At 42.8% G+C, this 24678-nt stretch overlaps 1 long non-coding RNA gene across 5 annotated transcripts, besides 1 other annotated feature; it reads right to left on the reverse strand.

Annotated features, from left to right (window-relative positions):
* Window positions 1-1342: 1342 nt before the first annotated feature.
* Window positions 1343-23600, reverse strand: LOC105375758 (uncharacterized). Of its 5 annotated transcripts, none has more exons than XR_928646.2 (5): window positions 23409-23600; window positions 14304-14502; window positions 9536-9593; window positions 3243-3313; window positions 1343-1950 (listed from the first exon to the last, which is right to left on the reverse strand). It is a non-coding gene; the product is annotated as an uncharacterized LOC105375758 (long non-coding RNA). The 5 variants fall into 5 exon arrangements; XR_928647.2 differs by having other exon boundaries at window positions 14304-14655; XR_928648.2 differs by lacking the exon at window positions 1343-1950 and adding an exon at window positions 2839-3018.
* Window positions 2301-3500: an enhancer, noted in NCBI's record as "CDK7 strongly-dependent group 2 enhancer chr8:131540148-131541347 (GRCh37/hg19 assembly coordinates)". NCBI's record gives its function as "activates an origin of replication core promoter dependent on BRD2, BRD4, P300/CBP, MED14 and CDK7 cofactors, with strong dependence on CDK7, by STARR-seq in HCT116 cells {active_cell/tissue: HCT116}" and the evidence as "EXISTENCE:reporter gene assay evidence [ECO:0000049][PMID:35650434]".
* Window positions 23601-24678: the final 1078 nt, after the last annotated feature.

The following is a 24678-nucleotide window of genomic DNA, read 5'->3' on the forward strand; positions in this document are numbered from 1 at the left end:
ATGCAGAGTCTGGTGACTCTCCGGGGCAGCTGTGCTCTCTGCAGTCGTTCCTGATCGAGGCTGCCTCATTTTGTGATGCCACTATATCAACCTATGGCTTCCAAGATATCTGTGACAAATTAAAAAAGAGCATGATGTGTATCATGTGTGCTCATAGCTGTGGGCCTGAATGGATCACATGGCATCAGATTAACTGGAAAGGTTGCTGGTAGCTATGGTCTTCCCTTGTGCCCAGGAAGTGGAAAATGAAATAGGATTTGGGGAACATTTAGCTTTGGCTCGGTCACAGCCTCCAGACTTTAAAGCCACGTTTTTAAAGCCAAAGGTAGTTGTGGGCCAGGTGTGGTGGCTCATGTGCGTAATCCCAGCACTTTGGGAGACTGAGGCGGGTGGATCACCTGAGGTCAAGAGCTCAAGACCAGCCTGCCCAATGTGGCAAAACCCCGTCTCTACTAAAAATACAAACAAAAAATTAGCCGGCTGTGGTGGCGTATGCTTGTAGTTCCAGCTACTTGGGAGGCTGAGGCAGGAGAATTTCTTGAACCCGGGAGGCGAGTGAGCCGAGATGGCACCACTGCACTCCAACCTGGGTGACAGAGCAAGACTCTGTCTCAAAAAAAAAAAAAGTAGTTTGCTTGACAGTTCTCCACTGTGGGATTGTTTCTTACACTTGGTTTTGTTTGTTTTCTTTGCTTTAGCTGAGTTACCTCCTCTTGCCCTCTCTCAATAGCCTTCTGATCCTTACCAGTTAGGAAGGTCAGAATCACTCATTTACCACTTGGTTTTATCGCCGGCTATGAGAATATAGGGCAAATGGGGGAAATAAAACATATCACACCATGATGAAGCTGAAGGAACAGTTTTTCTGTAATTACAGCTAGAATATCAGTCTGCTTGGTGATGTATGTTGTGAAGAGCAGTAAGAAGTGTGGACAGTGAAGGGCCTTTGATTAGAGGTATGCTATGGTTTAAATGTTTTTGTCCCCTCCAAAAATTCATGTATTGGGAATTGAATCCCCAGTGCAACCATGTTGAAAGGTGGGGCCTAATGGGAGGTGTTTAGGTTATGAGAGCTCTGCCTGCATAAATGGACTAATGACACTCATTATAAAAAGTGTTTGCAGGCCAGGAGTGTTAGCTCACAGTGTAATCCCAGCAGTTTGAGAGTCTGAGGGGGGAGGATTGCTTGAGCCCAGGAGTTCTAGACCAGCCTGGGCAACAAAGCAAGACCCTGTCTTTACAAAAAATAATTAAAAAATTAGCTGGGCACTGTGGCACATACTTGTAGTCCCAGCTACTCAGAAAGCTGAGGCAGGAGGATGGCTTGTGCCCAGGAGTTTGAGGCTGCAATGAGCTAGGATCATACCACTATGCTCGCTCTAGCCTGGGTGACAGAGTGAGACCCCATCTCTAAAAGGCGAGTTTGAAGGAGTGGGTTTGCTCTCTTATGCTCTTCTGCCACGTGAGGACACGGGGTTCCTCCCCTCCGGAAGACAGCAACAAGACTCTGTCTTGGAAGCAGAGAGATCAGGTCCCTCACCAAATGCATCGGTGGCATTAAAGCTGTGAGGCCTGAGGTTTGCCCACTTTCCCTCTTGTTCACTCCACTTTTCATGAGAGGTTCCAACATCGAGAACTTGCATAAAGCCTGACATTTGGATCCCCGGTGACAGCCTGGGCTGGGAAAGAACAGGCAGGAGAAACAGTTTCTTTCTGTCCTGGAGGAATTTGTAAAATGGTGACCCATAACCTGCAAGTGGAGAAAAATGTAAGGCCACTGAAAGACTGATTGATTGATGTCTTCTGTGCAATGATGCTGCAGAAGGTCCCCTCCAGGCTGCAGAGCTCTGGTCCCTGAGGCTAAAGATCTGGTTTGACGCCATCTGTTTGAACACTTAACAGCTTTGTGGCCTTCGGCAAGTCAATGAACCTCTCTGAGTTGCTGGTTTGCTGTAAGACCAGAGGAGACAATGAATGTGAAAATAATTAATGGTAACACTCCAATCAATGCTAGGTATCCTCATTGATTTTATTTATGTTTTCTCTTGATGATGAATAGCAAATTTGGATTCTTTAGGAGCAGGTGACAGAAATAGGACTCTATCTTTCTTAAATCAAAAAGGGCTTTATTGGGAGAATATTGGGGGTGCTCTCAGAAATGGAGAAAATTTGAGGAATTAGATCTCTAAAAGGGTAGGAATCATTTCAGGTCCAGGGATTTGGGTGACAAAAACCAATAAAAAGCCTTGTAGCAGGGGTGGGGAATGGGGAGTGGGAGGGTGGGGAATCCACTCTGGCCTGATTCAAGGAAAAGAGCATCTGACTGGCTTAGCCTGAGCTCAGTGTCCACCACCTGGTCAGGGAAGGAAGTTCACCTTGACTTACAATCCCACCAGGAGTGGGGGAGGGGTGGCTCCCCAGACAGAAACTGGGGCATTGTTGCCAGGAAAAGGAGCAATAGATGCTGGGCAGGGAACACAAGAAATAGAGATTAAAATAGTCAAAGCACTTTATTTCCTGTGTTCCTGGCCCAGTGCAGGACTCTGTGGGGAGCTAAAGTAAAAGAAATCTTGATGCTGGGGATTTTTGATTTTTTTTGCAAGTGGAACAGTGAGGGAGTTGGACTGGGGTGGGGGGCAGTGCTTCTAAGCCTGGCTATTCTCTAATTCCACAATGTGTTGGGTCTGATTGTTTAGAGCTCCCTCTTGGCAATTAACATGCCTAATTAGTCCAGCCTTGTGTGGTTCAGGGTCAAAACTCGCTGTCAGCTCTCCCAGCCCCACCCCCGCAGCCCACCCCACCCATATTCCTTTAGAGAGGGAGGGTTCTCTGCAGAAATTGGCTGGCTGCTGCTGGCTCTCATGCACTTTCCTATCTCAGGCACCGCCTGGTGTCAGAAGCCACTTCTGAGTCATCCCTCTGCCTTGTGTCAGAAGCCACTTCTGAGTCATTCCTTTGTGATCTTGCCTTGGGACAATGGTGAATAGTTGGTGTTTTTGTCATTTCTCAGGGTATGTCCTGAGTTGAAAGCAAAGAGGAAAGGACATAGATGCATTTCTGTTTGTTCTGGGCTTACAGATCCTTTGCTCAGATATTTTTGTAAAAATAACTATGATTGCTCTTATGACTAGGACATGAACAAAGTCTTATGGCAGAGAACTTGACATAAAGAAGAAATCAAGTATTACCCTTAATCCCATCATCCCACCACACAGTGTCATCATTTTGAGATCTATCCTTACCGTTTTATTTCAGTGGACTTACAGATGCTTCTTGATTTATGATGGCATTGTCCCAATAAACCTGTCGTAAGCTGAAATATCATAAGTTAAAAAAATGCACTTAAGACCCCTAACCTACTGAACACCAAAGCTTAGCCTGGCCTACGTTAAACATGCTCAGAACACATACATTAGTCTACAGTTGGGCAAAATTATCAAGCAACATGGTGCACTGGAGAGTATTCATTGTTTACCTTTGTGATTGTGTGGCTGACTGGGAGCTGTGCTCATAGCTACTGACCATCATCTTGAGAGAGCATCATACCACATATCACCAGCCCAGGTAAAGAGCAAAATTCCAAATTTGAAGTGTGGTTTTTACAGAATGTATATCAGTTTTGAACCATTATAAAGTCAAAAAATTATGAATCAAACCATCATAAGATTGGCACTGTTCATATATACCTAGATAAATACATGGTGATTTTTCTAACTTCTGATATTTACAGAGGCAATTGCCACTGGGTGAAAGCTCAATATCACGTACTCTATTTTGCAGAATGAAGGAAAAAATTCATTGTCAATTTGCATTGCCAGAATGGGATACTGAAACCGAGACCTAATTGCATAATGGTTAAGAGCTTGACTTCTGTAGTAATAAAATGTAACATTTATAAAGTATTTTCTCTGTTCTAAGCACTTTCTATGTACAGTACTAGCTGTCTTAGTTTGTTTGCTGCTGCTATAAAAGATATGCCCACAGACTAGGTAATTTATGAAGAACAGAGATTTGTTTAGCTCATGGTTCTGGAGGCTGGGAAGTCAAAGAGCATGGTACAGGCATCTGGAGAGGCACATCGAAAAGGTGGGTGGATGGGTGAAAGGTGGAAGTGAGCACAGGAGACAGAGAGGGAATGTAGGCTGAACTGAATCCTTTTATTAGGAACACACTCCTGTCATGATGGCATTAATCCCTTAATGAGAGCAAAGACCTCATGATCTAATCATCTCTTAAAGGCCCCACCTCTAAATACCATTACATTAGCAATTCAATTTCAACATGAGTTTTGGAGGGGATATTTAAAGCATAATATTATCCATCTATTTTTTGTAACAAGCAGTGAGGCGGGAGTGATGACTATTGTTTCCATCTTACAGATGAGGACATGGAGCATAAAGAGATCAAGTAACTTGCTCAAGATCACGTAGCTACTAAGCAGAAGAGCTGGGATGTCAGCATGGCTGCCTGTCAGGGCCGTGCTCTTAACTGCTGTGGTACACTGGCTTTCCATGGCTAGAATATGAGCTTCATGATGGGGAGGAGTGCTGTTCACTGTTCCATTCCCAGGGTCTAACACAGATGCTCAATGAATACTTATTTTATTTTAGAGATGGAGTTTCACTCTTGTCGCCCAGGCTGGAGTGCAATGGCACGACCTTGGCTCACTGCAACCTCCACCTCCCAGATTCAAGCGATTCTCCCACCTCAGCCTCCTGAGTAGCTGGGATTACATGCATGTGCCACCACGCCTGGCTAATTTTGTATTTCTAGTAGAGATGGGGTTTCACCATGTTGGCCAGGCTGGTCTTGAACTCCTGACCCTAGGTGATCCACCCGCCTTGGCCTCCCAAAGTGTTGGGACCACAGGCACAAGCGACTGTGCCTGGCCAATAAATACTTATTGAGTAGAGGAATCAGGTTTGAATACTGGTCTGTCTCTTAAGAGATGTAAGAGCTTAGGGACTTTTAAAAACTACTCTGAGTAACTTGCTCAATCCAGGGGCAAGCTCTGTCATCTTTCCCTTCAAAAGATATTTTGAATCCACTTCTCACCATGCCCACCACTGTTGTCTTGGGCCAAGCTACCATCATTCCTCACCAGGACTTTTGCTGTGACCTCTTACAAGTAGTTTTTCTATTTCGACACTTGCTGTAGCTATCTTTATCCAGCAGTCAGGTGATCTCGTAGAACATAACACAGACCAGATCTCTCCTGTACTCAAATCTTCCGATAATTTCTTATCACACTTGGAATAACACACAGGCTTGCAGGGTCTTACATGGCCCCAGCTCTATCTTCCCAATCCCCCCGACTCCTTTGCTCATGTTCTTCAGTGACACAGGGCTTTTCCTTGAACACTGTCTACCTTGGTCTCAGAGCCTTTGCACACTGTATACATTGACGTATGTTGCTGTGAGTGTGAAGGCAGTGGCAAAGCCCACACTAGGCTGTTAACACAAGTAACTGGGTTGAAGTGGAGAGGAGTAGGGAGGATTATCAATGTTTTCTCCACAGGCCAATGTGTTTTACAAATCATGCCTTAATTTTGTAGTTTTAAAAAGGAATTTAATAAAGAAAGGGGATAAGCCCTTTTAATAGCTTTATCCTCCCTTAACTATGAGCACACATCTCTTCCTCCTTTGTAGGCAAGCTCCTGGCTTTCTGTCTTATCTCTCAGTCACCCCAAAGCCCATGGCAGCCTGGTTTCTAAGCCCCTCTGCTGCCCTTGCAGCCTGACCACCAACCTCTTTGTTGATAAGACCAACCACCCTTTTCCGGTTAGCTTTCCAGACTTCTCAGCTGAATTAAATACTGTTGACCGCTCTATTCTTCTTTTTATTTTTTATTTTTTAAATTTTAAATGTGGCAAAATACACATAACAAAATTTACCATTCTACCAATTTTTTAAGTATATAGTACAGTAGTGTTAAGTACATTCACATTGTTGTACAACCATCTCCACCATCCATCTCTAGAACTCTTTTCATCTTGCAAAACGGAAACTCTGTCCCTAATAAACAACGACTTCCCATTCTCCCTCCTCCCAGCCCCTGGAAACCACCATTCTTTTTTCTGTCTCTGATATAGCTTGAATATTTATTCCTGCCCAAATCTCACGTTGAATTGTAATCCCCAAATGCTGCAGGTGGGGCCTGGTAGGAGGTGATAGGATCATGGGGGTGGATCTTTTATGAATGGCGTGGGTCATCCTTTTGGTGATGAGTGGGCTCTTGCTCTGAGTTCACATGAGATCTGATTGTTTAAAAGTGTGTGGCTCCTCCCCCGCCACTCTTTCTCTCACTTGCTCCAGCCTTCGCCATGTGCCATGCCTGCTCCCCACTTGCCTTCTGTCACGATCGGAAGCTTCCTGAGGCCTCCCTAGAAGCCGAGCAGATGCAGCCCCACGCTTCGTGTCCGGCCTGCAGAACTGTGAGCCAATTAAACTTATTTTCTTTATAAATTACCCAGTCTCAGGTACTGCTTTATAGCAATGCAAGAATGGCTTAATACAGTCTGTATGAATTTGACTACTCTGTCCACCTCATTTATAAACGGAATCATACGGTATTTGTCTTTTTGTGATTATCTGATTTCATTTAGCCTCATGTCCTCAAGGTTCATCCATACCATAGCATTGTGTTAGCTTTTCCTTCCTTTTTAAGGCTGAATAATATTCTATTGTATATACCATATTTTGCTTATCTACTCATTCACTGATGGACACTTGAGTTGCTTCTTCCTTTTGGCTATTGTGACTAATGCTGCTGTGAGCATGTGGGCACAGATATCTCTTAGGGCACTCCCTTCTTTTGAAACTCCCTACCTTTTTTTTTTCTGTCTCTTTTGCCAGCTCTTCTTCCTCCTCCTTTCCCTGATCCTTAAATCTTGGTGTTCCTACAGCTTTGTCCTAGGTCTTTTCTACCTCACCCACCATGCCATCCACTCCCCACGTTTCATTTACTATCTTTATCCCTATAATGCCAAATAATAATAAGTATTATTGCTAATTAGAAATTTAGTATTTATTGTGTGCCAATAATTTTTAACATACTTTATGGGTATTTTCTCATTTAATCCTCACAGCAATGATATGAGGTTTGTACTATTATTATCTTCATTTTACACAGAAGGAAACCGAAGCACAGCATGACTAGTGAACTCAGCCCAATTCACACAGAAGGCGAGAGCTGAGATTGAAACTCAGGCAGTCTGTGTGCAGGGCCTCTGTTCTTCACCAGCAAGTTCTTCTTTCACTTGGAGTTCATATCTACAGCCCAGTGTTCTTTCTCACCTGCAGGAGACCGTATCGGCCACACTCTAATAGATGCCAGGGAGCTCCCCGCAGGGCTGTTGTCAACAAAAGGTTCTAACCTGTGCTTACTAAATAAGACTCCTAAATGATATTTTTTGTGAAGTTATTGTATGTTATGGGTTGAATTGTGTCTTCTGCAAAAGATATATTGAATTCCTAACCCACAGCTCCTCAGAATCTGGTCTTATTTGGAAATAGACTAATTGCAGATGTAATTAGCTAGAGACTATACTAGTGTATAGGGTAGGCCCCTAATCTGATATGACTGTTGTCCTTATAGAAACACAGCCATGTGAAGATGAAGGCAGAGACTGGAAAAAGTGTGAAGGCAGAGTTTATCCTGATTGGATTAGGAATAAATAGAGTCCTATAAACCAAGGAATGTCAAGGATTGCTGGCCATCCCTGGAAGCTAGGACGCTGGGACAGGTTCTCCCTCAGAGCCTCTGGAAGGAACTAACCCTGTAAAACACCTTGATTTTGGAACTTTGGCCTTCAAAACTGAGGGAATAAATTTTTGGTATTTTAAGCCACCCAGTTTGTGGTACAAGCATACCTCAAAGACTTGCAAGTTCAGTGCCATACCACCACATTAAAGCAAATATTGCAATAAAGTGAGTCATACAATTTTTTTGGTTTCCCAGTGCATATAACAGTTATGTTTATACTACGGTACAGTCTATTAAATGTGCAATAGCATTATGTCTAAAAACAGTATATATGTTAATTAAGAGATATTTTATTGCTAAAAATGCTGATCATCAGAGCCTTCAGTGAGTCATAACCTTTTTGCTAGTGGAGAGTCTTGCCTCAGTGTTCATGGCTACTGACTGACGAGGGTGGTAGTGGCTGAAGACTGGGGTGGATGTGGCAATTTTTAAAAATAATGCAACAATAAAGTTTGCTGCATTGAATGACTCTTCCTGTGATATTTCTCTGTGATATGCTGTATTAGTTTATCCTCATGCTGCTAATAAAGACATACTCAAGACTGGGTAATCTATAAAGAAAAGAGATTTAATGGACTGACAGTTCCACGTGGCTGGGGAGGCCTCACAATCGTGGCAGAAGATGAAGAAAGAGCAAACGGATGTCTTACATGGTGGCAGGCAAAGAGAACTTGTGCAGGGGAACTTCCATTTATAAAACCATCAGTTATCATGAGACTTATTCACTATCAAGAGAACAGCAAAGAAAAGACCTGTTCCCATGATTCAGTTACTCCCATGACCCATGAGAATTATGGGAGCTACAATTCAAGATGAGATTTGGGTGGGGACACAGCCAAACCATATCACATGCAATGCTGTTAGACAGCATTTATCCACAGTAGAATTTTCTCAAAATTAGAGTCAATTCTCTCAAACTCTCCCACTGCTAAGTTTATGTAATATGCTAAATTCTTTGTTATCATTAGAACAGTGTTCACAGTGTTTTCACCAGGAGTAGATTCCATCTCAAGAAACCACTTTTTTTGCTTATCTATAAGAAGCAACTCTTCATTCTTTCATGTTTCATTATAAGATTGCAGCAATTCAGTCACATCTTCAGGCTCCACTTCTAATTTGGTTTTCTTGCTTTTTCCATCACAGCTGCAATTACTTCCTCCACTGTAGTCTTGAACAAGTTGTCCATGAGAGTTGGAATCAACGTCTTCCAAACTTCTGTCAATGTTGATATTTTTGTCCTCTTCCCTTGAATTATGACAGTTCTTAATGGCACCTAGAATAGTTAGTCCTTTCCAGAAGGTTTTCAATTTGTATTTTCCAGATCCATTAGAGGAATCACTATCTATGGAAGACATAGCCTTACAAAATGTATTTCTTAAATAATAAGACTTGAAAGTAAAAATTACTCCTTGGTCTATGTGCTGCAGAAGGGGTGTTGTGTTAGCAGCCATGGAAACATTAATCTCTTTGTACATATCCATCTGAGCTCTTGGGTGACTGGGTCATTATCAATGAACAGTGATATTTTGAAGGGAATATGTTTTTTGGAGCAGCAGGTCTCAACAGTCAGCTTAAAGTATTCAGTAAACCATGCTGTCAACAGATGAGCTGTCATTCAGAAAAATAAGGTAGAGAAGTTATTGGCGTTGTACTTCCCTAGCACAGACCCTGGATCATAGCAAGCCTTCAAGAAAGTTTTATTATTATTATTATTTTCTTTATTTTAAGGAGCAGAGAGTTAAATAGCCAAGAAAGAAAGAAGAAGCTCACCTGTAGAGACAGAGGGAGGGGGCTCCAAGCTGAGAGAGGAAACCTCTGAGAAAGTTTCCTGTAATAATGAATAAAAAATAAATGAGCATATTCTCTGCTGCACTAAACATATTGCATTTACCCAAATTGGTGCCCCACCCAGCTTCCCTTTGGGCAAACATTTTTGCCCCTGTTGGACTCCAAGCAAATCTATACTGTCCACTATGTGTTCAAAGAAATCACTTATAATGAACAACATACAAAATTAATGTGTTAATTTCCCAGGGCTGCCATAACAAAAATCCAGGAATCCTTCCATCGTATTGAGCTTCGCTTTACTGTACTTCACAGATATTGTGTCTTTTTTACACATTGAAGGTTTGTGGCAGCCCTGCTTCAAGAAAGTCTATCAGTGCCATTTTTTCAACAACAAGTGTTTACTTTATGTCTCTGTGTCACACTTTGGTAATTCCTACAGTATTTCAAACTTTTTCATTATATCTGTTATAGTGATCTGTAATCAGTGACCTTTGATGTTACTATTGTAATTGACAATACAATGACAAAAGTTTGGTAAGATCAGAGTGACAGGTAGATATGAGGGAACAAATTAGGGTAGTGGCCAGCTCGAGGGTCCTGCTGGGAGTGAGACTATCTCACAAAACAAACAAAAAAAACCCAAAATGCTGTCACTAGGGAAGTGCTCCTCTCAGACACCCAATGGTTAATTCCTTTGGATCAGTTATTGCACTGTTATGCTGCCATTAGGGCACACATGCTGCTATGGAGTGACTTGTGTCTCCCTAAATTCATGTATTGAAGCCCTAACCTCCAACGTGAATTATATTTGGGGACAGGGTTTTTAGGAGTTAATTAGGGTAAAATAATGTCATAAAGGTGGGGCCCTAATTTAGCAGGGCTGGTGCCCCTATAAGAAGAGGAAGAGATACCAGAGCTCTCTTTCTGCACCATGTGAGGACATAGCAAGAAAGTGGCCACCTGCAAGCCAGGAAGAGGACCCTAACCAGGAACCAAACCCTGACAGAAACTTGATCTTAGACTTTCCACCCTCCAGGCCTGTGAGAAAATACATGTCCATTGTTTAAGCCACCTAGTTGATAGTATTTTGTTATGACAGCCTGAGCAGACCAATACACATAGGTATGTCCAGGTGGTTAATTTATGGCTGGAATGTGTTCTGAATGGGTAAGCATCCATTCTGATTGGTTAGCTTCCATGCTTTTCCAGTTATAAAATATTTTGCATATTACCCCCACGTGTAATTATCTGTTCATTTGTCTTCATTTACCCCACCCTTGAGATAGTGATCTGTTGTTTAAAGGAAGGAACTATGTGTTATTCACGTTTCCCAAAGCCTCGGTAAATGTTTACTGAATGACTGAATCCATCTTATTTCTCCAGAAACAGAAAATCTTTTTCTTTAAGGACACAAAGCCTTGGGTATTTATATTTGATTTAATGCCCTTGTCCTCACCCTGATCTTCGTTTTCTTGGCGTGACTCTTGTGTAGGGGCTAGTCCTGAGGCGAGGGTCTTGCCCCACATTAAGATTATGATGTGCACAGGTAGAAAGCCATAGGATCTGGGTTAAGAAGACTCAAGTGTTAACTGAGTGTGCATAACCATGCATGCTTAAAGAAAAATTAAAATATCAAAGACCTCATTCCTCTAGAGAGGTGGGGTAGAAGAATAGAGAGAATATAGATTCTAGAGTCAGAAGATCTGAGTTTCAGTTTCCAGCCCCACCACTTACAGGTGTGTTCTTGAGCAAGTCACTCATGCTGATCAATACTTGGTTTCCTCATCTATAAAATGGGTTCCATTGTTAGGCGTTACAAGGAATTCTGGATTGTTATTAGCTGGCATTTTGCTAGGGGACAAAGAATATCAGAATTCTGCTTTGGTTTAGCCATACCTTCTTCCCAGGAGACTCCCAAGGGATATAGTTACATGAAGCACGAGAGCCAAGAAAACAAGCACCATTTTGTGTTTAGCCGGATTGAGGCCCAAGCTATGTGAACGTGACTCAGGTTCATGAATCACACATTTTCCCCTAAGGTAATTAGGTGTAAATGGCTTCAAATCCAAAACTAATAGAACCCATTTATCAGAACTAGGCAGAATGTACCTGGAGAGGGACAGATTCATAGAATGTGTTTATCTTCATGCCAAAGGAAGAGCTGGCAGGGTGTGGGGTCTAGCTGGCTGCCACATGGAAGTAGAGCAGAGAGGAAAAGAGCGAGATGGCAGGGCTTCCTCTAAGAGGGGTCCTTGAAGAAGGGGGAAAGATGTTTCCAGAGCAGAGCATGGGGCCTGTCCCTCGGGTCTCCTTACCACTCCTGCAGCATGGGAGAGGGGTGACCACAAAAGAAGGCCACACTACGTGCATACACTTAAAAAGTAGTCTTTATTTTTTATTTATTATTATTATTTTTGAGATGGAGTCTTACTCTACTGCCCAGGCTGGAGTGCGATGGCGTGATCTCAGCTCACTGCAACCTCTGCCTCCTGGGTTCAAGCGATTCTCCTGCCTCAGCTTCCTGAGTAGCTGGGATTACAGGTGCCTGCCATCAAGCCTGACTAAGTTTTGTATTTTTAGTAGAGACAGGGTTTCACCATGCTGGCCAAGTTGGTCTTGAACTCCCGACCTCAGGCTATCCGCCTGCCTTGGCCTCCCAAAGTGCTGGGATTACAGGTGTGAGCCACCGCGCCCGGCCAAAAGTAATCTTTATTTTTTTGAGCAGTTTTAGGTTTATAGAAAAATTGAGCCGAAAGTACAAGAGTTCTCATATACTCCTTTACTACACTCCTTGAGCTTCCCCTATTATTAACATCTTGCATTAGTGTGGCACATTTGTTACAGTTGATGGGCTAATATTGATTATTTTTTGCTAAAGTCCATCGTTTACATTAGGGTTCATTCTTGGTGCTGTGCATTCTATACGTTTTGACAATTGCGTTAATGCTATATATCCATCTCTGCCTTTTAGGGCTCTACCTATTCCTCCCTCCCTCCTGCTGAACCCCTGGCAACCACTGATCTTTGTGCCTACACTTTAAATCCACAATGTTTCTGCCGACTAGCAGACACACTATTCTCAGTGTCTGATATCTGACCCTTCCCTTCTAACGCCCCCTGGGTGGGAGTAAGCAGTAAAGTCAGGAGAGCTTGTCTCTCTCCTTGAGGGGTGCTTTGCTCTGCCTCCCCACTAGAGGACTATGTGAGAATAATATCTACCTTACAGGGTTGTTATAAGGATTAAATATATGAAATAAAACCTCTACAGATGTTAACTATCACTGGAATCTTTAATTTTGGTTTTGAATAACTCCATCAGGAGTAAGTTAGTATTTATTTTAATATAAAAGGGTTTGCTAAGCATATCCAGGGACTGCAGGGGAAGGTTTAACTTAGGGAATGAGCTTTTTTAGAAACAATTAGCAGCTGCCATTTGTGAATTAATGTGCCACCCAACTGAGCCATTCCCCAAGGCTTAGTCCTCAACTCCTGCTCTTCACCCTCCACTCTCATCTGTGCTCATTTATCTTCATGGCGTCTCTCATTTCTTATTGGATAAATTCCAGATTTGTCTGCAGTACCATCCTGTCCCCTGAGTCATAGTATCTCCAACTGTCTCATGGACAGTTGCACTCAGATGTCCTGCCTTCATATCAAATTCAGAAGGGGCAAACCCAGCTCCTCTGAGGATGTAGAGAGAAATTGGATCCTTTGTGCACCATTGATGGGAATGTAAAACTGTACAGCTGCTATGGATAACTGTATGGTGGTTCCTCAAAAAATTAAAAATAGAATTACCATACAATCCAGAGATTCCAATCCTGGGTTTACATCTAAAAGAATTGAAAGCAGGGACTCAAACGGATATTTTTACACCTATGCTTATAGGGCAATATTTACAATAGCCAAAAGGTAGAAACAACCTGCACAGTGGAATTGTGAAATATTATTCAGCCTTAAAAAGGAAAGAAAATCTGACATATGCTGCAACATGGATGAACCTTTATTATTATTATTATTATTATTATACTTTAAGTTCTAGGGTACATGTGCACAAAGTGCAGGTTTGTTACGTAGGTATACATGTGCCATGTTGGTTTGCTGCACCCATCAACTCGTCATTTACATTAGGTATTTCTCCTAATGCTATCCCTCCCCCAGCCCCTAACCCCCTGACAGGCCCTCATGTGTGATGTTCCCTGCCCTGTGTCTATGTGTTCTCATTGTTCAATTACTACCTATGAGTGAGAACATGCGGTGTTTGGTTTTCTGTCCTTGTGATAGTTTGCTTAGAATGATGGTTTCCAGCTTCATCCATGTCCCCACAAAGGACATGAACTCATCGTTTTTTATGGCTGCATAGTATTCCAACATGGATGAACCTTGAAGACCCCATTGTAAGAAAAATAAGACAGACACAAAAGGACAAATGTTATAATATTCCATTCATATGAAGTACCTAGAGTAGTCAAGTTCATAGACATAAAGAAGAATGGAGGTTACTAGGGGCTGGAGAAAGGAGAATGGGGAGCTGTTGTTTAATGTGTACAGAGTTTCAATTTTGCAAGACGAAAAAGTTCTGGAGAATGATTGCCTAACAATATGAATAGACTTAACATTACTGAGCCACACGCTTAAAAATGGCTAAGATGGTAAGTGTTATGGGGTGTAATTTTTTACATTATGTATCGTGGTGCTTTCTCTAGGTCTGCAAACCATCTCCATGTTAAAAGAACTCTTAGGTACTCACTAGGGGGCTTCCTGGATCCCTTCTAGCCCATGCAGTTAGAGAGGTTTATGTCAACCATCTCCATAAGACATCCTCTCTGGCACTCTGTCGTTGAGTCTTTGTACCTTTCTGCTTGAATACTTCCTATGGCAAGGAACTCAGCTTCTTCAAAGGCAATCCACCTTATTGCTGGACAGCTCCAATTTGGGAACGTTCATTCCTACAGAAAATTAGAAGTCCAATTTCAGAGAAATTCCAAACCAGGATCCTATTCTTCCTTTTGGAAACTTCCAGAAAGACTTTGACTCCGTCCTCTTCTGGATATGTGACTTTGAACATGTCATCGAGCCTCTCTGGGCCTCAGTTTCTTTGCCTGTAAGAGGAAAAATTTGGCCTTATGTTGGCTGCTGTTCCTCTGTGGTAAATAACCCAGTGGAAATAGGCTTACAATCACACAAGGGATTTATTTGCTGAAGAGATTAGAAAGCAAAATAAGAATGGGTTTCCAGGTTGTTTTGACTCAGTGGGTCAATGATATGCTCAAGACTCTGTCTCTTTGAGGTTGGTTGCTTTGCACTCATCTTTGAGGCAACGGGCTCTTGACTTCTTCCAAATCCCAAGTGAGTACACTCTAGAAGAGCAAGGATGCTTCTCTCCAAGAAGCCTCAGCAAAGCTCTGCCAGCACCTCACCGGACAACACTGGCCAATAGAGCATCTCTGAATTTGTAACTGAGACCAGGAAGTGGGGTGCCTGGTTGGAGCTGGAGTGGTACCACCATCTCCAAAGTAAACAGGCTGTGAGAGGGAGGTGTGGCTACCTGAATGAAAATTGGGGTTTCTGACCAAGAGAAGCAAGTGTGTGCTGGGGAAGTTCCCACAGGCTGCCCTTTAGATTGGATGAGTTCCCTTTCTGGTTCTAGCATTTTGTGATTCTAATCAAAGTAGGAAAATTATGTAATGCTTTTTTGCCTCAGTTTATCTTTTCTCCCATATCCGCTGAGCTCCCTCTAGGTGCTGAGGTGAACTGGTTATATTTGCTCTGTGAAACTCTTCCTTAGAAAACTCCTGCTGACTGTCTTATTTTATTAGAAGTGATGATTAACTAATGGACAAGTGATTGCTTGTTTAATAATAGAAGCTGTCCTCACAATAGAAAAGAAGTTCAATTTCTTGTTGAAAGAAAAGAACTTGTCTGCTTTCTATTGAATGTTTCTACTATTTCAGTACGTAGCCTCCCTCATGTGGTGGTGCCTTAATTAACTGCTTAAAGAATATAGGAGCAATCTGGCTAAAACTCACTTTGCCTCTCTGAGGTTGTTTTCTTATCTGTAGAATGGGAAACGAATTCCTCCATTATTGGTAAATTCATCATGGTGTTGCCAGCACCAGTAGCACAATAGCACAATGGCACAGTTTCTGGCACATAGACTACATCTAACACATAAATACTTGAGTAAATGAATATCGCTTTTGCAGGGTCATTGTGAAGATTAAATGTGATAATATAATAGATACGTGCATTATAGTGTTTAGCATAGTGCCTGACACAGACTGTGCCAGACGACCTCCCTGATTATTACAATTATGAGGAACAGCAAGAGAAGAGGGCTGGGAAACAGGGCTGTGGATTCCCAGGGGATGGAGTGGATGGAATTGGCCTTGGTCACTTAAACCACTCTGCCTGGCCTCTTTGTGGAATCTGGCTTCTGTCTCTTTGACTTGCTGCAGGGGACTGGCCAGTGATTTTTTTTTTTTTTTTTAAATCCTCATGTAGTGAATCACTGAGCTTTCAGGTTGAACCTGCAGGTGGGGCTGAGTAATTACCCACTGGGGTACAAAAAATGATCAGAAATCTTGGTGACCTGTCTCCAACACCCTTCTCCAATCATGTCCCCAGCTGTCAGAGAACGTATGGGGCTTCTCTGGGTCTGGCTCACTTTAAATTCACTTAAAAGTGGCTGGGGTTGCCCAACTAATCAGAGCTGTCTGCTCACTATTCAACCCATGACTCAGATCTCGTCAGCCAGGACTAAGCTAAACTCCATGAGGCCAACAGCATCTGTAGTGGGGCCACCTTTTGCCTTCCCTGGCTACTTTCTGCCCTTCCATTGCCACGTACCCACCGCCTGACAATTAGGAACGAGGGATATGATTTTCTGCAAGCCATGCTAATTGCCTTTCACTTTTTCTTTTCTTTTCTTTGGGCTTCCTAAATTCAACTTGTCACCCAGGTGCTGAGCTCAGGCAGAACCAGTTTCAAAAGGAGGAGAGAAAAAACCACGGCATTCCACAAAGCTAATTGCTTTCAGACGGGCTGGCCTGCTTATTTGTACTGTCTGCACAGCCCTAACATGGGCTAGATTTGGAAGCCGGCTGCACCAGGAACTGGTTCCCTGAGAGTATAAGATGGGAGTGTTGTAGGAAAGGAGGGAGGGAGAGAAAAGGGGAATTGGGGAACACAGAGAAAAAGTAAAAATATAATAAGGTACTTGAGTGTGATCTTATTTAATCTTTTTTTGTAGATATTAGGAGCTTGCCCAAGCCCCCCAGCTAGAAAGGGGTGGTAGCACTTCCAACCTGGTTCTGGCCATCTTCTAACTCTAGTGTAAACTCTAGTTCTGTGTCATATCCGATGGGGAAAGGGTTCCACCATTAAATGACTTTGGAAACTGGAAACTGGAATACTATCTTACCCCATTGGAGATTCAGAGTTTGCATTAGGAAGTTAAAGATTCTGAAGAGCCCTGAAGTAAGGAAACCTATTTGACTTGGTTTAATCTAGCAATTCTCACACAAACCACCCTTCTTTTTTTACTTTTTATTTTTGCTAATACATGTATGTATATACATACGCACCTCTCTCTCTTGTCCTTCCTCAAAACTATGAGTTCACACTTATACCTTCAATTCCAGTTCAACACCAGTGAGTTCATTGAAGCCTTTCTCATATTGAAAACTCCTTTCTGGCTGTGTGCAAACTGAGTCTCACTTGTTTAATTCTGGAATATACATTATATCCTGGAATTGCTCTTCTATACCATTGTGGAAAACAAACTCACGATTTGAGGTTCAATAATTGTTTACAATTCTTTTTGTCTTTAGCCTGCAGGTATTTAGTTAGACTGTGATCAAGATTTACACGAGTTCTTTTCATTGCCTCTCCTAAGTTTGGTTGTGTTATTCATTTGAAATCTAGTTAGACTGATTTATTTCTATTTGTATTCCATTTTTCTTTTTCTTCCCTGACCGTTTTTATTTTTTCCTTTAGTGTGTAAGACACAATATTCTGAAAGTCAAAACTACACAAAGAAATACATCCAGATAAACGTCATCCTCCCTTCTCCTCTACATTACTCCCATTCACCCATCCTTTCCATTCTATTCCCACCCACCCCTGTACCTAATTTCTTAGTTTCTGATTTCTTCTGGTGATTCTTTTTGTTCAAGGTAGCAAATACATTAAAAAAAATCTCTTTCTATATTGGTCAGGGTTCTCCTGAGGAACAGAATATGTAAAGATAGATAGATGAGAGGGGATTTATTAGGGGAACTGTCTCATGAGAATATGGAGGCTGAGAAGTCCCATGAGACACCCGCTATAGTCTGAGGCTGAAGTTCCGAGAAACTTGGGAGCCCCTGGTACAAGCCCCAAGGGTCTGAAGGCCAGAGAACCTGGAGTTCAGATGTCCAAGGGCAGGAGAAGAAGGGTTTCTTAGCTCCAGGAGAGAAAGAGAGAGAATTCTCCTTTCCTCTGCCTCTTTGTTCCATTAGTGCCCTCAGTCGATTGAATGGCATCCACCCACATTGGATAAAAATGGATCTTTCTTACTCAATCCACTGATTCAAATGCCAATATCTTTTTCAAACACCCTCACAGGCATACTTAGAAATAATATTTTACTAGCTATCTGGGTATCCCTTAATCTAGTCAAGTTGACACCTAAAATTAACCATTACACTTTCTTACATGAAAGGTGGCATACTATAGATCATCTTTTGCAATTTGCTGTTTTCATGTAACTATATTCCCTGGAAAGCACTCCACTTTTTCTTTTACAGCTGTATAGCACTTCATTGTGTGCACATATTATAGTCTCAACCAATTTTTTACATATGTGCATTTAGGTTGTTTCCAATATTTAGCAATTGCAGATGATGCTGCAATGAATAACTTTGTGCATATGTATTTTGATTGTGTTGGAGGTGTAATTTAGGGTAAATTCCTAGACCTGGGATTGGTGGGTCCAAGGGTAAGTGCATATGTGCTTTTGTCAGATATTGCCGAAATCCCTTCCACTTCTGAGTAGGTGTAAACTCATTAGAAATTCACTTCACTTTCCTCTTTCTTGACTTCCTTGTCTCCACTTCTCTCTTTCCTCTCAATTTTCTCCTTCAAAAGTGGAAATGATATAGTAATAAAATCTCTGTCAGAGGGCTGATGGAGAATGAAATGAGGACACGTGTGTCCATCTTTTCTTCTGGTACTTGTGTGGTTTCTTTTTCTTTTTCTTTTTTTTTACATTTAGATCTCTGACTTATTTGGAGTTTATTTTTGTGTATGGTGTGAGCTCTAATTTTTTTCAAATGCCTGCCTGTTTTCCTAGAGCCACTTATTTAAAAAGTCCATTTTAATCTCTGAGAATGTTTTTCACACGCTTACAGAACACTCAGATTGACTAGATAAGAAGCTTGGCCGGTGTCTGGCCACAATCTACCCTCAGATTTATTTCCATCCCAGCTGAAATGACTCTGACTGCTGGCTGTCCAGCCAAGCACCTGTCCAAGCTGGCTTGGTGATGACAGGCCTGTAGCAGGGCAAGGCCTCAAGGCCAATTTTGGCACCAGAACTCTGCCCTCTGGTTTTGGGATTGGATCTCATGGTGTCTTTCCAGTTTCTTGCCCCTGGTCATTTCCATATGTTGAAACCTCAACAGCTGCTCTTGTTCTAATCCTGATGACCCAGTGAAGTGCAGGAGAGATGACAGGACCAAGAAAGAGAAGATTCCTTCTTTCAGCTTGCCCTCAGAGTTCCTTTCACCTGTTTGGACTTATGTTAGATTGGAGAAACTGGAGATATGTTCATATCTTTATGCAGCAAGCATTTATTGAATATCAACTCTATGCTAGCTCCTGGCTGGAGCTCATGGTCTAATGGGGAGGGCTCAGATGGCAATAGATAATAAAGCTGATATGTAAATAGATAATAAGAGCTCTTGCATAAAGGTACAGAATATTGTGGGAGGCATAGGAAAAAATAAATCTGTGATTTGAGAGTTTGCAAAATGAGAATGAAGGCTGGAGAAAAGTTTTCAAGGTAGCCTTTCCATAAAAATAGGTACTGTTCTCTGGTTAGAAAGTCCTTTTACCTCTAGTGTCTTTTTGGATCTTCTGAGCACTACTCTCTGAAAGGTATTAATGTTACCTGCATTCTGCAGGTGAGGAAACTAAGTTCTGGGGACATTAGCATGTAAAGGGCATAACTGGTATGTGAGTCTGGAGCTTCTGATTCTAGTATGTGTTTTGTTGCTTATTTTTCCTGGGATTGGAAAAAAGAAGTTGGCATGCACAGTTTGAATTATTTGGGGGTGTGGCTCACTTTCCCTGGCCCACTTCTGAGTAGGTGTAAACTCATTAGAAATTCGCTTCCCATTTCTCCCTCTTGACTCTCTTGTTTCTGCTTCTTTCTTCTCAGTTTTCTCCTTCAAAAGTGGAAACAATATAGTAATAAAATCTCTGTCAGAGGACTGATGGAAAACTAAGAGAGAAAATGTATGTGACATAGGTTGGAAATTATAAAACACTACCCCAATATAGATGATTATTGTAATTTTCCCTGCTGGCGGGCACTCAAAAAAAATAGACAACAATGGCCAATAATAGCTACTATGCTTTGATTGGCTGCCATGTGCCTGCTGCTGTGTCAGGCACTTCATATACAACGTCTAATTTAGTTCTGTGACAACCCAGCAAGGAGGAACCCTCATTCTTATTTTATACCCAAAGAAACTCAAAGGTGAAATCACACAACCAGTATTTGAACCCAGCATGTGATCAAAAACTGCCCTCCGGAAATCTAGGATGGATGAGGATTAGGGAGAAAAATCTCTGGTTCTTTCTGCTCCATGTTCCCTGCCCTGATGACCCTCATCTCCTGACTACCAGCCTCTCCCTGGCCATACCTGTCTGCTCCACACAAATAGCCCTGCTTTTCCCCTCTGCTGCTAGCAGAAATGAAGAAGAGCTCTGAGATTCAAATAGGAGGTTTTGGTCCCACCTAGGCGAGGTTCAGAGGCTTGTCCAGCTGCTGTTCCTTTGAGAGGCAGCATGTGTGCTGGTCTCCCCAGCTGGAGAGGGAATGCCATCAGCTCTGAAGACACTCAGACTAGGAGCAAAGAGGACAATGGAGGCATCGGCAGCAGCTTCTTGGGTGAGTGACTGGGCATGTCTGGGGCTGGATGAGCAACTGGACATGTCTGGGGCTGCCTCGCTGACCCCAGAATTTCTGCTGCCATCTTGTGCCAGGTTATGCCATCTTCTAATTCATCTACAAGCCTAGAGGCATCCTGAGGATTTTCTGGAACATCTGGTTGCTCTTCAGTTGTTTTTGTCTTTGCTTGGAAAATGGAGGCAGTCTGGTTCTCGGGGGTATGGGGGATACATCCAAGCAGTTGGGCAGGGCTTGCCACTGGCCAAGGTAGGGGATGTGGAGGAAGAGCATTTGGCATATCAGTCACAAGAGAGAAGTGGGACTGGATCCAACTTAGCATAGGAGGACTTTTGGCTTTTGATCCTTCCCTAGTCTCTCTCCACGCATCTGTGTGAGGTTCGTTTAAGGTGTAAATAACTCAATCTACCCATGATCATCAAGTCCTCAAGGTAGTGTGAAGAGAAGACTGGCTAGAGGAGCTTTCCTTCAACTTTGAGACTCGATAAATCCCCATTTACAGAACTTGCCCGGAGCTGGTTCACTGGGTTAGCTTGTAGGTTTTGTGGGGATGGGGTATGAAGCCAGAGAGGGAGGCGGCTAGAGGAGGGAGATTTCAAATTCATTGCCTGGGCCTGGGAGAGCCCAGAATCCTTACCACCTCATCTAGAAGAGAATAAGTAGGGGGAAGGGCAGGAAATAAGGAGTGTCTGCCCTTATTTCCAACTGGCCAGGAAAAGGCATTGCTTAATCCTTCAGGCAGAAAGAGCAAGTAAGTCCAGCTGGCAGAAGCCATTCATCTCACCATTTATCTCTCTCTTCTGTAACTGCCACCTAAAGAGAATTGATGTATTTAAAATATGTTAGTGGGAGGAAGACCTACTTTCACGGCTATGGCCTCAAGCTTTGCCTAAGATTTTTTTTTTTTTTTTTTTTTTTTGAGACGGAGTCTTGCTCTGTAGCTCAGGCTGGAGTGCAGTGGCACGATTTCGGCTCACTGCAAGCTCCACCTTCCGTGTTCAAGCGATTTTCCTGCCTCAGTCTCCCGAGTAGCTGGGACTACAGGCGTGTGCTACCATGCCTGGCTAATTTTTTTTTTCTTTCTTTTTTTTTTTTTTTAGTAGAGGCAGGGTTTCACTGTGTTGGCCAGGATGGTCTTGACTTCCTGACCTCATGATCCACCTACCTTGGCCTCCCAAAGTGCCGGGATTACAGGCGTGAACCACCGTGCCTGGCTTGCCTAAGATTTTTTTTTAGCTTTCTTTGGTCAGTAATCTTATTCCCTCCTCCCACCCCTGCTAACAGCATGTTATCCAGAGGCTTGATGTATTTGTGATTCACTGCTGCGTAACAAATTACCCCCAAACTGAGCACTGAGCACTGAAAACAATGCTTCTTATTCCACAGCCTCTGGGGGTCAGGAATCTGGGAGCTGCATGCTGGGGGTGTCTGGGTCAACCTGTCTCCTGAGGCTGCAATCAAGCTGCCAATTGGAGCAGTAGTCAACTCAAAGCTTACTCAAACCCTTGGCTTTCAAACACCATGGTTTCCTAGCATAGCATTTTCCTGAATTTCTTCATTGCTGAGAAGCCATTTCTACATTTTAACATAACTTACCATCTAGAGAGGCTGAGAAATTTAAAAACCATCAGGTACTAGCTCTTTTTTATTTACAGCTCTTTCTGCAATTGATCGCTCACTCACATTTGACTGCAGGCAGCAGGAAGAAACCTGGTGGCATCTTCAAAGCTTGGCTTAGAAATATTCTTTTTTTTTTGTGCTGGGCATGGTGGCTCACGCCTGTAATCCCAACACTTTGGGAGGCCAAGGCAGGCGAATCACAAGGTCAGGAGTTTAAGACCAGCCTGGACAACATAGTGAAACCCTGTCTCTACTAAAAATACAAAAATTAGCTGGGCATGGTGGCACGTGCCTGTAGTCCCAGCTACTCGGGAGGTTGAGGCAGGAGAATTGCTTGAACCCAGGAGGCGGAGGTTGCAGTGAGCTGAGATCACACCACTGCACTCCAGCCTGGGCAACAGAGTGAGACTTCGTCTAAAAATAAATAAATAAATAAAATAAATAATCTTTTTTTTTTTTTTTTTTGAGATGGAGTCTCCTCTGCCTCCTGGGTTCAAGTGATTCTCCTGCCTCAGCCTCCCAAGTAGCTGAAATTATGAGTGTGTGCCACCACGCCCAGCTAATTTTTGTATTTTTAATAGAGACAGGGTTTTACCATGTTGGCCAGGCTGGTCTCAAACTCCTGACCTTAGGTAATCCACCCACCTCAGCCTCTCACAGTGCTGAGATTACAGGCATGAGCCACCGTGCCTGGCCAGAAATATTCTTAGCTAGATTACCCAGTCCGTTAGACAGATATTTAACTTTTCACGTAACGGCAGGTGAGAGTGTTGCTAAGCTTTCTGCTACTTTATAACAAATATCCCCCTTCGTTCAGTTTCCAATAAGATTTTCTTCAATGTCCTGCAAGCTCTCACCTTAGCATCCCCAAAATCCAAAATTCTGTGAACAGTTGTATTCAAGGTACTTTAAACTTTCATTAGCACACTGTTCAAAACTCTTTGCCTGGTTTTAAGGTTATTCCTACATTCTAGGTTTTTTATACCTAGGCACCCCACTCTTAGTACCAAAATCTGTATTATTTATTTATTTTTGCATAACTTCAAACAGCAGGCATTACCTCACAGTTTCAGTGGCTCAGGGATCCAGAGTGGCTTTGCTGGATCTTGCTGGCTCAAGGTCTCTTTTGAGATTGCAGTAAAACTGTCAGACAGGCCTTCAGTCTCATCTTAAGACTCAAGTAGGGGCTGGGTGCAGTGGCTCACACCTGTAATCCTAGTACTTTGGGAGGCTGAGGTGGGTGGATCACTTGAGGCCGGGAGTTCAAGACCAGCCTGGCCAACATGATGAAGCCTCATCTCTACTAAAAATACAAAAATCAGTTCAAGCGTAGTGGTGCACACCTGTAATCCCAGCACTGTGGGAGGCTGAGGTGGGTGGATCACCTGAGGTCAGGAGTTCGAGACCAGCCTGATCAACATGGAAAAACCCTGTCTCTACTAAAAATACAAAAATTAGCTGGGTGTGGTGGCACGTGCCCATAATCCCAGCTATTCGGGAGGCTGAGGCAGGAGAATCACTTGAACCCAGGAGGCAGAGGTTGCAGTGAGCCTAGATCATACCGCTTTGTGACAGAATAAGATTCTATCCCAAGAAAAAGAAAAGACTCAATTGGCACTGAAGGACGGACTTGCATGTTCACTTATCTGATCATTAGCAGGCTTGATTCCCTCACAGGTTGTTGGATTGAGGGTGTTAATTCCTCACTGGCTGCTGGACTGAGGGCCTCAGTTCTTTGCTGTATCATGTAGGCCTCTTCACAGGGCTGTTTGTGACATGGCAGCTTGTGTATTTTAGCATAAGTGATCCGAGAGAGAGAGAAAGGAAGTGAGAGGGCCCCTAAGATGGAAGCCACTGTCTTTATGACCTAATCTTAGAATTTTCATTCAATGGCTTTGTTCATATTCAGTAATCTAGAAGAGAGTCATTAAATCTAGCCCACACTCCAGTGGGGGGACTACACAACGGACTGAATAGCAGGAGGTGGAGATCATTGGAAGCTATCTTAGAGGCCATCTACACACTGAAATGAAACCATTTGTAGGCACAAATATTTACTGAGCAACTACTTTATGCCAGACATTCTTCTAGGTGCTTGGGATGCATTAATGAGTAGAACAGAAAAAAAGGACTGTTCTCAAGGATCTTTCAGAGGAAATTGCCCATGCAACATTTTGGAGGCATGTGAGAGTATGGTGCCTTTGAGGAACCATTGGAAATTCAGAAGGATGGGAACTTACTTGGGACGTGAGGTTTAGGAGGTGATCAGGATCCAAATCACAAAAGGACTTTCTTGCTATGTTGGGCATTTGGATAAATACCAAAGCAAC

The sequence above is a fragment of the Homo sapiens genome, chromosome 8 (genome assembly GCF_000001405.40).
Source record: "Homo sapiens chromosome 8, GRCh38.p14 Primary Assembly".
In the NCBI taxonomy this organism is placed as follows: Eukaryota; Metazoa; Chordata; class Mammalia; order Primates; family Hominidae; genus Homo; species Homo sapiens.